At 44.9% G+C, this 15,981-nt stretch overlaps 1 long non-coding RNA gene across 8 annotated transcripts in view; it reads right to left on the reverse strand.

Moving 5' to 3' along the window:
- The window catches only part of LINC01605 (long intergenic non-protein coding RNA 1605), a 196,324-nt gene that overhangs the window by 80,373 nt on the left and 99,970 nt on the right, over positions 1-15,981 (reverse strand). For 7 of the 8 annotated variants that reach the window (NR_170189.1, NR_170193.1, NR_170194.1 and 4 more), the window contains exon 1: positions 9,550-9,978. The exons of the other annotated variant lie outside the window; for it this stretch is intronic. This is a non-coding gene — a long non-coding RNA (long intergenic non-protein coding RNA 1605). Of the gene's footprint in view, positions 1-9,549; positions 9,979-15,981 lie in introns of those variants that run through there. 8 annotated transcript variants of the gene reach the window in all.

Here is a 15,981-nt window from a genome sequence, read left to right on the forward strand (position 1 = left end):
TTTATATTTCTTCACATATCTCCTGCCTCTTTCAACCTCATATTTATACTATTAAATCACAGGGAGGACAGGAGAGTGAGAACATCTTTATATTAGTCTTAAAGCCCCCTCCGCAACTTCCATTTATATTTAGAAATTCTCAAGGTGCTAGATGATACAAAATTTCTCCCTGCTTTAAGTCTTTGTATTTCATGAGAAAGCTACTTGGTATTTCAGATAGTAGTAAAGTTTTAAGACTTTAAACAGAAAATGGCAAAGAGGCTTCATCTGGTATAACACAACTGGCTGAATAGCAGGGACTGCCTGGAATACCTCAGGGCACTCTGTCTGACAAGAGGCCCAGCTCAGGGGGAAAGCATGCTGGGTTCAATTAGTGATGTCTGGCATGGGCAAGGACAAAGTCAAGAAAACATCACTTCCTTCCAGCTCCACTTCAAAGCACATTACCTTCAAAAGAGGAAGAGTATGAAAATTAATTTTTAAATGATATTTACATTTAAGGTTTCCAATCATCCTTCAGTTGAGCACTTCTTTTCCATTCTTATAATTTTTCTAGCTAAACTGAATGTGCATTTCAGAATCTGTATACTCTTGGTCCAGAGAAAGTAGGCAATAATGTGCAATGAGACCAGAAACCTCTAAGAGGTGCTGGGCCCTTTGGACAAGTGAGCACCAACCAGCACTTCCCTCCTCCCACCCCAGAATGCTTTGCAGGAAGCTGGCTTTTGTAGTTTATCTGTGTATGTGTTAACAAGGATGGACTTCAATGTGAATAAAGGAAACTTTCCCCTCTCGCTGCCTTGCCTTGAACTATTTCTTCTATCTTAAATGCCTTCCCCATCCTCTAATGTGTTTTTATTGCAACTATACCAATCATCTAAGGTCCAAATCAAGACCTAGCTATCTTCTAACAAAGATTTGATGAAATCTCTTTTCCAGTTGGAAGTATTCTCCCATCGTATTTAGGGACTTTATAAAAGCACCCCTGACCATCTGCCTTGTTATCTTAGTTAATTATATGTTTGTCTACCTCTCCTCCTAGATGGTGAGCCCCATTGAGTAGAGATAGGGACACAGTCATATTCATTGTGATAGCCTCACAGTGCTCAGTGTGGTGAGTTGCCTTTGTTAGCACTCAATTGAATTGAACTCAAAAGGCAGCTAGACTTTGTTTTGTTTCATAAAACTATAAAGGAAAATAAGGTATGGGTGAATTGTGCAAGGGAAAGTCTTCTTTGTGTTGTGTGTTCTTCCTGATGTGTCTGTGTACAGGGAAGCCTGCATGAGGAAATGCCCTAACTATTCACCCTCCAAGACTTTCCCTCTGCTTCTTGGGATAATGCAAAAGGAACACCAGCATTGGACTGCCCCTAGCTGAGGGCATGTTCAAGGAGATTTGGTTCCTCAGAAGACTTTACCAATCTGTATAGTGCACAGACTCTACTGCAAAGGATAACTTGCAGGGATTAGCAAAGTAGCTAATGACACACTTTCCCAAGACAGTGCTAGCCTGGAGATGTGGTCAGCAGAGCAGCCAGGGGGCTGTTTAGGGACATGAGGATGGGGAGATTAAAACTTCAGACTAAGGAAAGACAATGGAGGTAGCATGAGGCATATTAAAGGGAAACAGAACTCCAAGGGTTCTGGGGGAAATGAAGAACTGGGCAAGGGGAGGGCAGAACCCCATCTCAGGTCCAAGCAGCAGTTGGTTCACCACCATCCCATCTTCAGTTTGGGCAATGGAATGGAAGTGGAGTGATATGGTTTGGCTGTGTCCCCACCCAAAGACTTGGAATCAACCCAAATGTCCATCAATGATAGACTGGATTAAGAAAATGTGGCACATATACACCATGGAATACTATGCAGCCATAAAAAAAGATGAGTTCATGTCCTTTGTAGGGACATGTATGAAGCTGGAAACTATCATTCTCAGCAAACTATCGCAAGGACAAAAAACCAAACACCTCATGTTCTCACTCATAGGTGGGAATTGAACAATGAGAACACTTGGACACAGGAAGGGAAACATCACACACTGGGGCCTGTTGTAGGGTGGGGGGAGGGGGGAGGGATAGCATTAGGAGATATACCTAATGTAATGACAAGTTAATGGGTGCAGCACACCAACATGGCGCATGTATACATATGCAACTAACCTGCACGTTGTGCACATGTACCCTAGAACTTAAAGTATAATAAAAAAATTAAAATTAAAAAAAAAAAGAAACCTAATTTATTACTGTAAGGTAATAAACTTCCAAAATGGAAGTTCCATATATTAAATTCAATACTACAGTGCTCTTCTGGGGCTGTAGGGTGTGAATTTGGGTTTCTGATGCTTCTCCCTTAGTCTCCTCTCCCATTTTTTAACCAAATTAAATCAGTTGCCCTCAATTCTTTGTTATTATTGCATTTGCGCTGATCTTTTTTTAGTAAGATGTCTTTATTGTAATGAAAATAAAGTATTATTCTTACGACTTTTGGAATTGAAAAAATATATATATACTAATTATGAGTCACTAGCTTTTCCTCAATACAGTATAGGTAAGAAAATACATGATTTCTGACAAGACAATGACTAAAAAGATAAACCTATCCAAATTGTGTTATTTTCCCTCTTAGTTCTCAAAGTCATACTGGACAGAGAGTTTAGGTTTTACCAGAATAGAAAAATTAAATGAAGAAATTGAATGAACGTCTGTTGCATAACTATGTCCCATCCATTATGCCGGGCACATTTATATAGGTTATCCCATTTAGTCCTCACAAAATCCCAGAAAGGAGGATCAATTTCTCTTCTGTTCTAAAGGAGGAAATGAAGCTTCAGATGTTAAGAGACTGGCCCAAGAAGCAAATCTAACAAGTGGTAGAACCGGGATTTGAACTAGATCTTCTGATTCCCAGCCAGCATCTTTGCACTCTTTCATGGTGCCACTCTCTTGTAGGAATTTTGGCCTCTTGGGACCAAGGCAAGACAAAAGGGCAAGTCGGGGGCCAGTTAGTCAGGGTGATTTCCAAGAGCCATTCCCCTGTTCCACTGGCAGTGTCCTCTGCTCTACCCTGAGCCAAGCCTTTTAAGGGCTCCAGCCTCCGGGTGGCTGTAACTTACCCTGGAGCAATCTCCCTCTGCCTTATATTGACAGAGGGGAATATACAGAAGAGGGGGACAGAGGGCTTCCTCCTGGCCACACCCCAAAGGAGGATTGACTTACAGAGGCACAGAGAGAAGAGGTCTCCTCTCAGTGTTGTTCTAATGGGGCCCCCTCCCTTCCTTACAAGGATGCTATGAGGACAAATGAAGTAATATACCTGAAGTGTTCTGAGAGCTTCCTAAGTGCTACATAAATATAACAATGGAGTTGCTGATGCTGATCACAATAATAACTACAGTGATGATGAGCCTATACCCACAGTCATTATTTAAGGGAATATTTCAAGTGAGAAAACCCCACCAAAATCAATCCACTGAAGTTTATTTAGAAGAGAGGCTGCTAATAAAAATGTTATGGGAATGTGAGCTCTTGGGAAATAATGATGATTTTCTTCTATTAAAAGACTCATCAGATCCATTTCCAAAGTACAGCTCAGTTATTTGTGGGTCCTTTGCTGCTCCACAGAAGAAGTTCTCGTTTAAAGAGAAAGAGGAAGCTGCTCTCACTGAAGCTCCAGAATTTGGAGATACAACTGGCCTGTGTTTCTAGAGCCACTGCCAGCTATGCCCATTTACAGAGGAGCCTGCACCAGCAAAGCATCTGTTTTTTATTTTCTTCTTTCTTCTCTCATCTCCCATCCCCATCAGCAGCTGCTAAATAGCTTGAGTTTAGAGTCATTACTAATGGAACAATAATGGGCTGGTGCTGTCTTTTTCAGAGCTGGGTAAGGTTACACTACAAAGATAAATCTACCCACGTATGAAAACCCAGCATGGAGTGAACATGGAGTTACCCATTGCAGCAGCTGTCCGCTCCCACACAGTATGGGTCTGATCCCTGCTTGCTTGCATTACCCTGTTTAGAGACATAAGGATGGGGATATTAAAACTTCAGACTAAAGAAAGACAATGGAGGTAGCATGAGGCATATTAAAGGGAAACAGAACTCCAAGGGTTCTGAGGAAAATGAAGAACTGGGCAAGGGGAGGGCAGAATCCCATCTCAGGCCCAAGCAGCAGTTGGTTCACCACCATCCCATCTTCAGTTTGGGCAATGGAATGGAAGTGGAGTTATATGGTTTTGCTGTGTCCCCACCCAAATCTCATCTTGAATTGTAGCTCCCATAATTCCCAGGTGTTGTGGGTGGGACCTCATGGGAAATAATTGAATCATGGGGACAGTCCCCCTATACTGTTCTCATGGTAGTGAATAAATCTCACAAGATCTGATTATTTTATAAGGGATTTCCCCTTTGGCTTGGCTCTCATTCTCTGCTCTCTGCCGCCATATAAGACGTGCCTTTCACCTTCTGCCATGATTGTGTGTCCTCCCCAGTCATGTGGAACTGTGAGTCCATTAAACCTCTTTTTCTTTATAAATTACTCAGCAGTGTGAAAACGGGCTAATACATGGAGAGAAGACTATTCTAATGCCATTTCAATCCTGGACTTCTGAATCCCCCTGACCATGAGGCATCACCAGGAGAGAAAAAGATAACCATCAGCAGCATTTTGGAACTCAGTGATGAGTCTTGCTTCTGATTCCTTGCAAATGTCTCCAAAAAACACCATGAAGAAGTGGACTACAGGATAGGTGAGAGCTGAGATCGGCTGCAGAAGGAAACTCGCCACCATTATTTTCCTTCAAAGATGGAATTCGCCACTGAAAAAAGCTAGATAAGGAAGCCACATGGAGTGATGCTAGGCTATTTGTATTGTAGTGCCCACACTCTGGGGTTTACACAGTTGTGGGCTAAGGTGACCCAGCTTGGCCCTGGAATAAACACAAGGCAGTTTCCTGCTCACAGGTGAGGCCAAACCATGACAGGCAGACCTGGATCTTCACCAAGGCTCTGTGCACCTTGAATGTGCCATCTCCTGGTATTTGCAGCAAGAAAGGGAGGATTTTCAGGACATCTCTCCTTAGTTATCACCCTGACTCAATTCAAAAATTAGTGAAAAATGGTTGCCATTTTATTGATTCTCAGAAAGCAAAGAGACCTGCCCAATAACACCTCCTGCTCTTCTAAATTCAGCGTTCCAAGGTGGATTCAGTGCAGAACTGGATTTTTTCCCTTCAACTGAGCAAGCTAAGAAATATACATATACCATTATGTGTTTCCTGATGGTAATTTAAAACTTTTTTTATATTAAAATACAGATGTGTGATGATAGAGCATATAAAACATGGAAGAATTTTTAGCATTAAACACTAAACTTCAAATATTTAACACCTACACTGAGATGTTTCAGGCCAGGGAATCCCTGGGGACTAGTGTCCACCCCCTCTGCCCTCACTTGAGTGAAAAGGTTTCAGAAGCACTGTGCTGAGTTGAGTTCCCTGCTGCCTGTCCACTCTCTAGCTAAGGGATTCAATTTCATTATCTGTAGATGAAGCTGTAAAATCTTTAAAGTGTGGACATATTCTGTGGAGATTTGGTTCTGGAGCTTTTTCCCCAGAAGCCTTCAAGGAGAGAGGAGGCACACTTCGTTTAGAATGATTGAACCGTGGTCTGTATATCGCAGGAGGGAAAAAAAAAAAAAAAAAAAAAACCTGATTTCCAAAAGCCTCTTAACCTTGTTAATTCACAATGTTTCCTTTGCCCTATGCAAGACTTTCTCTACCTAGAAGGGTGCAATGATCGGTAGGTCCATCCCCTTCCCTTTTCCCTGTTCTCTTCATCTAAATGATGCTTTTCACTTCCACTCTCATCCCGTCTTAACAAGATATTAGGATTTCCTTCCCGAAGAAAATGAGGCCACTGTCTCTCCAGCTTCATTGTCACAGAAACCAAGCTCTTTACAAAGGCATCCACATGCAGGCACTACCACCCTCATCTTGCCAATGGGGACCCTGCCACCTTACTCTATGCTCCAAGTCCCCAAACTAGTGAATCCAGATGTCCAAGTCTGTCATGGAGTCAGAAAGACAGGGAGCCACTGGCCTGGAACTGCAACCTGATAACCAAAGAGAATCCTCCCATCCCCCATCCAGGCAGAATACAAGATGCCTGCATTGGGCAAATGCTGCTCACACTCGAAATATTTCAGAATGACTGCGGGAGGGGCCTTGTATTTCCTTAGCACTTGGGACTTTCCTAAATGCAGTGGCTAGTCTAAAATCATGTGCCTGGCTCTGCACAGTGGCACATGTTGATAATCCTAGCAGTTTGGCAGGCCGAGGCAGCAGGATCACTTGAGATCAGGTGTTGGAGACCAGTCTAGAAACATAGCAAGACCCCCATCTCTACAAAAAAATATGAAAAATTAGCTGGGTGTGGTGCCTTGTACCTGTACTTCCAGCTACTTGGGAGGCTGAAATGGAAAGATGGCTTGAGCCCAGGAGTTCAAGGTTGCGGTGATCATGCCACTGTGCTCCAGCCTGGGCAACAGAGCAAGACCCTGTCTCAACAAATAAATTATATATATATATATACACACACACACACACACACACACACACACATATATATATACACATATATATACACACACACATATATATATATATACACACATATATATATATGTGTGTCCCCAAAACCATTTCATCTGTACTTATTCAAGCCTATACCAGAGTGACCATTTGTTTAGCTAAGGGGAGTTTGGGTTTGCAGAGCAGAACATGACCTAAGTGCCATCCCTGGCTGGTGTTCAGCCAATCAGACTTTCACTGGGATTCTGATCTCATTCTGAGCTGGCCAAGTCATTCTCAAAAGAAATGGGGACTTCTCACTTATCTTTGACCCAACATCCTGGACTCAGAAACAATTTTGAACAAAAGAGAGGGAAGCTTTAAAAAGAAGCTTCAATAATGTTGGCATGCAGTGCAAATTGCCGTGTAGATGGCTTGTGCAAAGGGAATTCAATCTCATTTCCAACACTCTCAGATTAACACTGCTATGATTTATTCCTGAGCCCTAATATTATGTGTGAGGTGCTAAAGCATTTCGGTTGGGTGTCACATCCTGTCACCAGAAAGCTTAACTATTTTCAGGATAGTTCTTGAACCACAGACATGACTGTACTCAACCTTGCCCACAAAGTATGTATCCATACAATTCCATTGTCCTCAAGACAATGGAAAGAAAACATAAGATAAAGTTTTTTTAAAAACTTTTATTCACTCATTTATTTAAAAATTCTCACTGAGCTTATATTATCTGCGGACACTCGGCCTAAGATCTTTGGTCCCAGTGTGGGTCAGCAGAATGACCAGTAAAATATGCGTTTCTTATGTGAGACTTCAACTGCATTTTTGTTGTTGTTGTTTTTGAGACAGGGTTTCACTCTGTCACCCAGGCTGGAGTGTCATGGCATGATCTCAGCTCACTGCAACCTCTGCCTCCTAGGTCCAACCGATTCTCTCCCACCTCAGCCCCCCAAGTAGCTGGGACTACAGGCACACATGACCACGCCCAGCTAATTTTTGTATTTTTAGTAGAGACAGGGCTTTGCCATGTTGGCCAGGCTGGTCTTGAACTCCTGACCTCAAGTAAGCCGCCCACCTCGGCCTCCCAAAATGCTGGGATTATAGGCATGAGCCACACCGCCTGGCCGAGACTTCAGCTGAAGATGCACTGGGGCAATACACTGGAGTGACACCTTTGTTTCCTCCATCACTTTCACCATCTCCATCACCCCACCCCCATTAAACTAGACCTTACCCTTTACTCCCAGGGAAAGGACAACAGAATAGGAATGCTGACAAAAACAAACAAGAATTCTTCATTTTCCAGTTTCCAGGAGCAGCCCCTGCAATATAAGACTTCTCTGAAATACTTTTGACTTGACTGAATGCATCCCTCCAAGGTCTCACTCTGTCACCCAGGTTGAAATACAGTGGTGCGATCATAGCTCAATGTAACCTCAAACTCCTGGGCTCAAGCGATCCTCCCATCTCAGCCTCCCAAGTGTCTGGGATCACAGATGCGCGCCACCATATCTGGCTAATTTTCTACTTTTTTGTAGAGACAGGGTCTTGCTATGTTGCCCAGGCTAGTCTCAAACTCCTGGGCTCAAGCGAGCCTCTTGCCTCTCCACTGATTTTAGAAGGCAACACCTCAGTGAGATGGGACCTCACTGTATCTCCAGAAAGAGTTACTGTCTATAAACTACCCCAGGCTGAAAATCTAAGTGCAGAACCCCTACCTTCCCACTGGTGCGCACTACCCTTGTCCTCCTAAATGTGGCAAGGAGACCACATGGGAGCCTCTCCACTCACTTCCTTAAGCACAACCAGTAGAAGTCATTTTAAATGTTTAGCACCTAATCCTAGTCACACCTATAGTTAGGATAATGATTGCCTTTAGATGCAGTGGTTCCTCGGCAAGGCAGCTGTTCCCTTTCCATGAGCCCCCTTTCCCAATGAAAGAAATTTTCACCCTTCTGGCTGGAGGGTCTCAGATTCAAGCTTTTTAACCCTCTCCCCCAAACGCTATTACCCATAAGAATAGTAATCACATCACCCACAAAGTGTCTAGGAGATACTTTAGGACCCAAGAAGCTTCTGTTTCTAGGTGGTAAATCTATTTACTTTCAGCTAAGAGTCAGGTCACTCCCATATCTTCCATATACTCTGTCAGGGTATGGGGTATCTTAGACCTCAGTCTTCCCCTCTGCCAAATGGGTCGTGCAGCATAAATGGTATCCACGAGGAGACCCAGAGAGGCGAATCACAGTCTCAGAGAAGTGACCGGATGCCAGAAGTGATGATGTGCTTTAGCGATCATTAAACAGAAGGGAGCCCCAGAGAGCGGAAGGAACTCCCCCAAGTCACAGGCAGATCAGAACATAACCTAAGTGCCATCCCTGGCTGGTGTTCAGCCCATTCAGACTTTCACTGGGATTCTGATCTCATTCTGAGCTGGCCAAGTCATTCTCGAAAGAAGTGGGGACTTCTCACTTCTCTTTGACCCAACATCCTGGACTCAGAAACAATTTTGAATAAAAGAGATGGAAGCTCCTAGTTCTGCCCTGACGGAACTAGGAGCCCCGCCCCACCCCCTCCCGCAGTTACTAGATTCCCTGACCAGGGCTCTTTCCCCGACACAAAAACTCTTCAATACACAAATGCCTTCTAGTCCCATCAGGACCTGGGGATGAGAGTCCAGGGAGCCAGCACCGTCTTGCCCCATGCGGGGAGAGGGGTGGTGACACTTTCAGTCCGCCGCCAGCAGCCACTGGGGAGGCCCGGCTCCAGCACGCCCCTCCGTCCCCTGCCTGGATAGAGGCTTCCACTCCGCGTGTGTAACTCAGAGCCACATGACACTGAAATGCTAAGTGAAGAGCAATTAACTTTTGCTTCTGAAAACCCACTTTAGCTTTCCATAACTCTTCGGGGGCCATTTCAGCTCAGCCAAACCTCCCGCACATTCTCCCTAAGCAATAAATTACCTTCCTGGCTTTAATTAGCTGCTGGCGCGCAAGCGGGGCTGGGTGCTGACGTGCTGCTTTCCCACAGGTCCCATTCTGTCACACAGACTCCAGGAGAAGGCGGCGGCGGGGGGCGCTGGGCCCCCTCTGCGAGACCAGGCCTGTAGCAGACGCCTCACCTGCCCGCGGTGTGAGGGAGGAAGCCTGAAAGTCCAAGCCTCATGGAGGTTAAAGTCTAATGTAGACCAAGTCCAAGTTCGATGGAGAGCCTTAGACTCCTCCTTTAGGCCTCTTGACCCCTTAGCGATGTGCCCTCAGACCCATGTTCCCTCTCTCCAGCCTTCTCTTCCTTCAGTCGGCCCCCAAAACACACACGCATGCAGACACACCAGCCCTCAGATACCCGAGCTCTTCATCTTCCTCATTCTTGCTAGGGGAGAAATTACTGACAGAGCTTAACATATAAACCCTCCCAGGAGACTTTGCTGTATAATTGTGAGCTAAGCTTGAGTCAGAATGAATAAATCTCTAAGTACGGGGTTTAGTCACATCTGTGGGCCGAAATGTATTGGCTGAGGAAGAAAGAAGTAAAACAGCACCTTCAGAATCCCAGACACCATTCTAAGCCCAAGATTAAGATTTGGGGTGCAGCCAACCCTATCTCTAACTAGAAATGGGTCCCTCAGCAAGTCCCCTCCCTTCTTCAGTCCAGGTGCCCATGAGAAAGCTGTGACGGGTGAACCCAAGTGCCTCGGGGCCCTGCCGTACTGTGATTCCGGAGGTCGGGCATGTGCACACAAGAGTGTGAGTATGAGCGTGTGTGGGGGTTGGTGTATGAATGTGTGTGTCAGAGTGTGTGTGTGACTGTGAGTGTATGTGTGTGTCAGTGTGTGGGTGTGTGAATGTGTGTGTCAGAGAGTGTGAGCGTATGTGTCAGAGTGTGAGTGTGTCCAAAAGTGTGTGACTGCGTGTGTGTGCAGTTGTGTGTGTGTGTGTGAGACTGTAGGTGTGTGAGTGTGTGGGTGGGCATGTGAATATGTGTGTGTGTGAGTGTGTTAGGGTATGTGAGTGTGAGCTTGTGTGTGTGAGTGTGTCAGAGTGTGTGTAGTGTGTGAGTGTGATAGTGTCCGTGTGTGTGAAACTGTGTGTGTGCGTGTGTTAGGGTATGTGAGTGTGAGCTTGTGTGTGTGAGTGTGTCCGAGTGTGTGTAGTGTGAGTGAGTGTGATAGTGTCAGTGTGTGTGTGAAACTGTGTGTGCGTGTGAGTGTGTGTGAGTGTGTATAGGGGAGTGAGCAGGAAAGACGCATCCTAAAGTAGACCTTAGTGCATCCCTCCTGCTTTCTTCTAGAGACTGCAGCATCTGGGCTGAGGGGGCAGCACTCCTGGGGACCTGATTTCCAGGGGGCGGCCAGGCCAGCAGGAGCACCACCCGTGACAGCTGGCAGCCAAGGCACCCACGCTCTTCAACCCGGAGGCTCTCCCTGACCAGGAAGGGCCTGGGAGAAGTAAGCCTCTTTCTTGGTCTGCTACAGACATTTATGCTAATGGTGCTTCTCTTCCGGGCCTAGCTTTCACCTCCTCTGACAGGTAATGAACTCCCCAAGTCCAATTACAGGCCACCTCTTCCATCCTTCTTTTCTCAAGGAAAAAAAAAATTGAAAATAAAAAGTCCAAACACAGAAGGCCCACAGCCAGGCCCTGCATGTCAGGCCAGTGACAGGCAGGCTGGGCACAGCCTCCCTCTGATTAAGAGGATGAGCACCAAGCAGGCCTAGGAGCCCCAGCAAGTCCTCACTACAACTTCTCTCCACACCTCTCAATGAACAGGCAGCTTGTCAGGAACAAGGAGACGCCGGGCAGGCAGTGGGGCAAGATTGCAGGCAGGTACCCAGGCTGTCACCACCGCCAGACAGGGCCCGTGTCACCCCACCCTGCCTGCCAGCGCCTGCCCCTGCCGTCTACATCTTCCCCAGCCTTTCACACACCCCACATGGTGACAAGTGAGCACTTCCATCAGCCAAAGAGAGTGCAAGGACTGGGTGGCTTGTGCAACTTCCCTTCATCCTGCCCTGGAGTGGTCTGGTGCTAGAGGTGACCTGGAGTCCACCTTCCTCATCCCGTCTTCCCAAAATCAGTGATGCCCTCAAGAGATTTGTGGCAGGCGGACCCGGAGAGTCGCAGGGGCCTCCTAAATGGCCTGTGAGACAAACTGAGCTTTGGCTGGTACTTTGGGAATCATAGAAAATGAGCAACAGAGGCCTGCTCAGGTGCAGAAATTGACCAGGCTCTTTGAGTCAAATCACCCTGGCGCTCCTTGGACCAATTAACCACACACCTGCTCCTCCCTGCAGAGATTCTAGGCACCAGCAGAGATTCTAGGAGGGCCTCACGATTCCACTCCCGCCCCAGCATAATCCCATGCATTGAGATGTCTCACTCCAGGCCCCACAGGTAAGGCCCTTGGTGTCCTCCTGTAGGCTTGGCCTCCCTCAATCACAGGGACCAGGCTCACTCAGCCACGCCTCCCACAAAAGCCCAAGCCTTGCATGACTGAGTTGATCTCCATAACCGCTCCCTACTCGGTGATCTCAGTTAGCCTCTCCTTGCCAGTTTTCCTGGGAAATGCCCCACCTGTCACTGACTCCCTGTCTGTCTCAATAGGTGAGTGGTACTGGCTTTGAGGCCTCCCACAGGTGGAGAACCCACACACACCACACACAATTCCATGCCTTTTCCAGACCAGATGATGCCTTCTACACAGACAGCCACGTGAATTTTGCCGCTTGGAGTGGGGTAATGTTGTAGCCCCAACTCTTGCCTGACAACCAGGATTAAATTAATACTTATGTGCAACTACTGTGTACTCGGTACCTTTGGAAAAATGCCCCTTATCTTCTCCTGAGATTGGTCTAGAAGGAGACCTACTCTCCTTGGCATAGATTTGTGGCTTTGGCCATATCCAAAGAAGGCTGGGTAGAAGCCTATGTGTCCATCCCAGAGAGAAGTAAATCATCTGGGATGCCTTAAACTCAATGTGAGGTGGGAAGCGAGAAAGTGGACCACATTGACAAAGGCTGAAGGGTGAAGAATGATAGGTGAGGCAGGTTCCATAACTCCTAAAGGGAAGGGACTGCCTTGGTGGTCTTCCTGTTCCTCAAAAAAATATTTGCTGAATGAAGGAGACACAGGAATCAGGTTATATGGTGGCTCTCCTCACGTCTTCAGCACCAGAAAGACTTATTATGTGTCCTCTTTAGGGATCAATTCAACCCTCATCACCCCTAATGATTGCCCCCTAAGGAAAGAAGGCCACGAAGAAGAAAGATGCTGGGGAAATGAGATCAAGAATAAAGGATGGTGAGAGAACGCACTTGGGCCAAATCAAGAAACATGTTACTCCTCTCCACCTTACACCAGGAACTCTGGCCTGCTCAGCAATAGCCAAGCAGCTCTAGGAAGCCATCATGTGTTTCATAAATTGCAAAATTGGTACTAGAAAGAAGGAGAGAGGGAGGAAGAGAAGGAGAGTGAGAAAAATGATCCGCTCCCAACTACTCGCTAAGCTACAGAAGAACTCACAAATATATAACCTTTCATTTGCAATGTGGTAGCATCCCCCCTTGGAAAGGGGAATATAAAGTTATGGAGATGTAGATAAACAGAAACTAAATGCCAGCTCCCATCCATGACAAGGAAGAACATATATCAAATTCATTAATTATGATCCAGTTTGTGCTTGCACTGTGAAAGATAATCATTTACCATCAAAGAGATGCCCTTCCCTTATTAAAGCCGCTGAGACTCTCAGGAAGTGCTCAAGGGTTTGAAATTCTGTATTTGAATTTCACACATGCTCTTTACTGCTGGGACCAAAACTCAATCAACACTTGATAGTGCTGACACCAACATTCAAGCCACAGGGGTCTTCACTCCTTTACAACAGACCTACAGATTGGGTCTGGCTAATGCATTTGCTAATTTGTTCTCCTCTGGATTCGTGTGTGTGTGTGTGTGTGTGTGTGTGTGTGTGTATGCACGCATGTAACATATGCAAAAGCCTATATCTTTTTTCAAATGGAGTTGAGGTAGGAGTAAAAGAACCGAGGAACAACTAACTTCATCTCTCACATGCCCAAGGCCTGAGAGGAACCCAGCCGCCCAGTAGTGGAATCCATGTCTTCGCTTTCATCTCAAAGCCAAACCAACGTGAACAGGTTGCTTAGAGACCAGGCTCCTCTTTCAACTCTGGGCCCGAGCCTTTGGTCCATGCCCAGACAGGGCTTGAGTTAGAAGCTGGAGCTCAGAGGTTATTGCTCTTTCCTTCACAAGTTCTTTGGCAGTACCTTAATTCTGATTTGCCTTTTCCAAGCCTGTTTCTTGCTCTAGGATTCAGGCCGATCCAGAGAAAGTCATTGGGTTTCCTGACTCACGACACTAAGTGTTCAATGAAAGCATATTAAATGGTATTGATGCCATAGATGGACTGCAATGGACTGGAACAGATGGAATATAGTTTAGAAAGAGCCTACTGCCAACCAAAGAGACCTTTCCTTTCCTCAAGCTTCCCACTGAAAGCGTAGAGATTTCTACAGAGTCTATAGCATACTATAGCATACAGCACACATAGCCTAACATACACTATAACATATAACATAGTCTATAGCATATAGCACATGTAACATAGCACATACTATAGCATATGAATAGCCTATAGCATATAGCATACATAGCCTAACATATATTAGGTTGGTGCAAAAGCAATTGCAGTTTTTGCCATTGAAAGTAATGGCAGAATATAATATAGCATATGCTATATTACACATACTATATTGCTGTAGACCATGCTATATGGTATAGTATATGCTATGCTATGTATGCCAAATGCTATCGGCCATGCTATATGCCATAGTAATGGCAAAAACCGCAGTTACTTTTACATCAATCTAATACTATAGAATATAACATAGTCTATAGCATGTAGCACATGCAGCATAGCATATAGTATAGCATATAGCATGGTCTATAGCTGATAAGGTTTGGCTGTGTCCCCACCCAAATCTCATCTTGAATTGTAGTTCCCATAATCCCCACATGTCATGGGAGGGACCCAGTGGGAGGTAATTGAATCGTGGGGGCAGTTTCCCCCATGCTGTTCTCATGTTAGTGAGTAAGTTCTCATGAGAACTGATGGTTTTATAAGTGTCTGGCATTTCCCCCGCTGGCACTCATTCTCTCCCCTGCCACCCTGTGAAGAGGTGCCTTCTACCATGATTGTAAGTTCCCTGAGGTCTCCCCAGGCATGCAGAGCTGTGAGTCAATTAAACCTCTTTCTTTTATAAATTACCTAGTCCCAGGCAGTTCTTTATAGCAGCATGAGAATGGACTATAGCATATAGCACACGTAGCATAGCACATACTATAGCACACAACATAGTAACATAGTCTATCACATACACAGCCTAACATATACTATAGCATATAACATAGTCTATAGCATATAACACATGTAGCATAGCCTATACTGTAGCATGTAGCAAGTTCTATAGCATATAGCACATGTAGCATAGCACATACTCTAGTATGTAACATAGTCTATAACATAGAGCATTTATAGCATAGCTCATACTACAGCATATAGCATGGTCTATAGCATATAGCATGCATAGCCTAACATATACTATAGCATATAACATAGCCTGTAGTATATAGTGTATATAGCATAGCATATACTATAGCATATAAAGCATGGTATATACTGTGGCATATAGCATGGTCTATAGCATATAGCACACATAGCATAGCATATACTATAGCATATAGCATGGTCAATAGCATATAGAATTGTGATATAGCATAGCTCATACTATAGCATATAGCTTAATGTATAACGTATAGCATATAGCATACAGAGCATACTATATACTATAGCATATAACATAGTCTACAGCATATAGTGATAAGGTTTGGCTGTGTCCCCACCCAAATCTCACCTTGAATTGTAATAATCTCCACATGTCAAGAGTGGGGCCAGGTAGAGATAATTGAATCATGGGAGTGGTTTCCCCCATATTATTCTCATGGTAGTGAATATGTCTTACAAGATCTGATGGTTTTATAAATGGGAGTTCCCTTGCACAAGCTCTCTTGCCTGCCTCCCTGTAAGATGTGACTTTGCTCCTCATTTGCCTTCTGCCATGATTGTGAGACCTCCCCAGCCATGTAGAACTGTGAGTCCATTAAACCTCTTTCCATTAATAAATTACCCAGTTTCAGGTATGTCTTTATTAGCAGCATTAGAACAGATTATTACATAGAGCATATATAGCATAGCACATACTATAGCATATAAAGCATAGCATATACTATGGCATATAGTGTGGTCTATAGCATATAGGTTACATAGCATAAGATATGCTATAGCATATAGCATAGTCTACAGCATATAGCATATAT

This window comes from Homo sapiens, chromosome 8 (genome assembly GCF_000001405.40).
Source record: "Homo sapiens chromosome 8, GRCh38.p14 Primary Assembly".
NCBI classification, from domain to species: domain Eukaryota; kingdom Metazoa; phylum Chordata; class Mammalia; order Primates; family Hominidae; genus Homo; species Homo sapiens.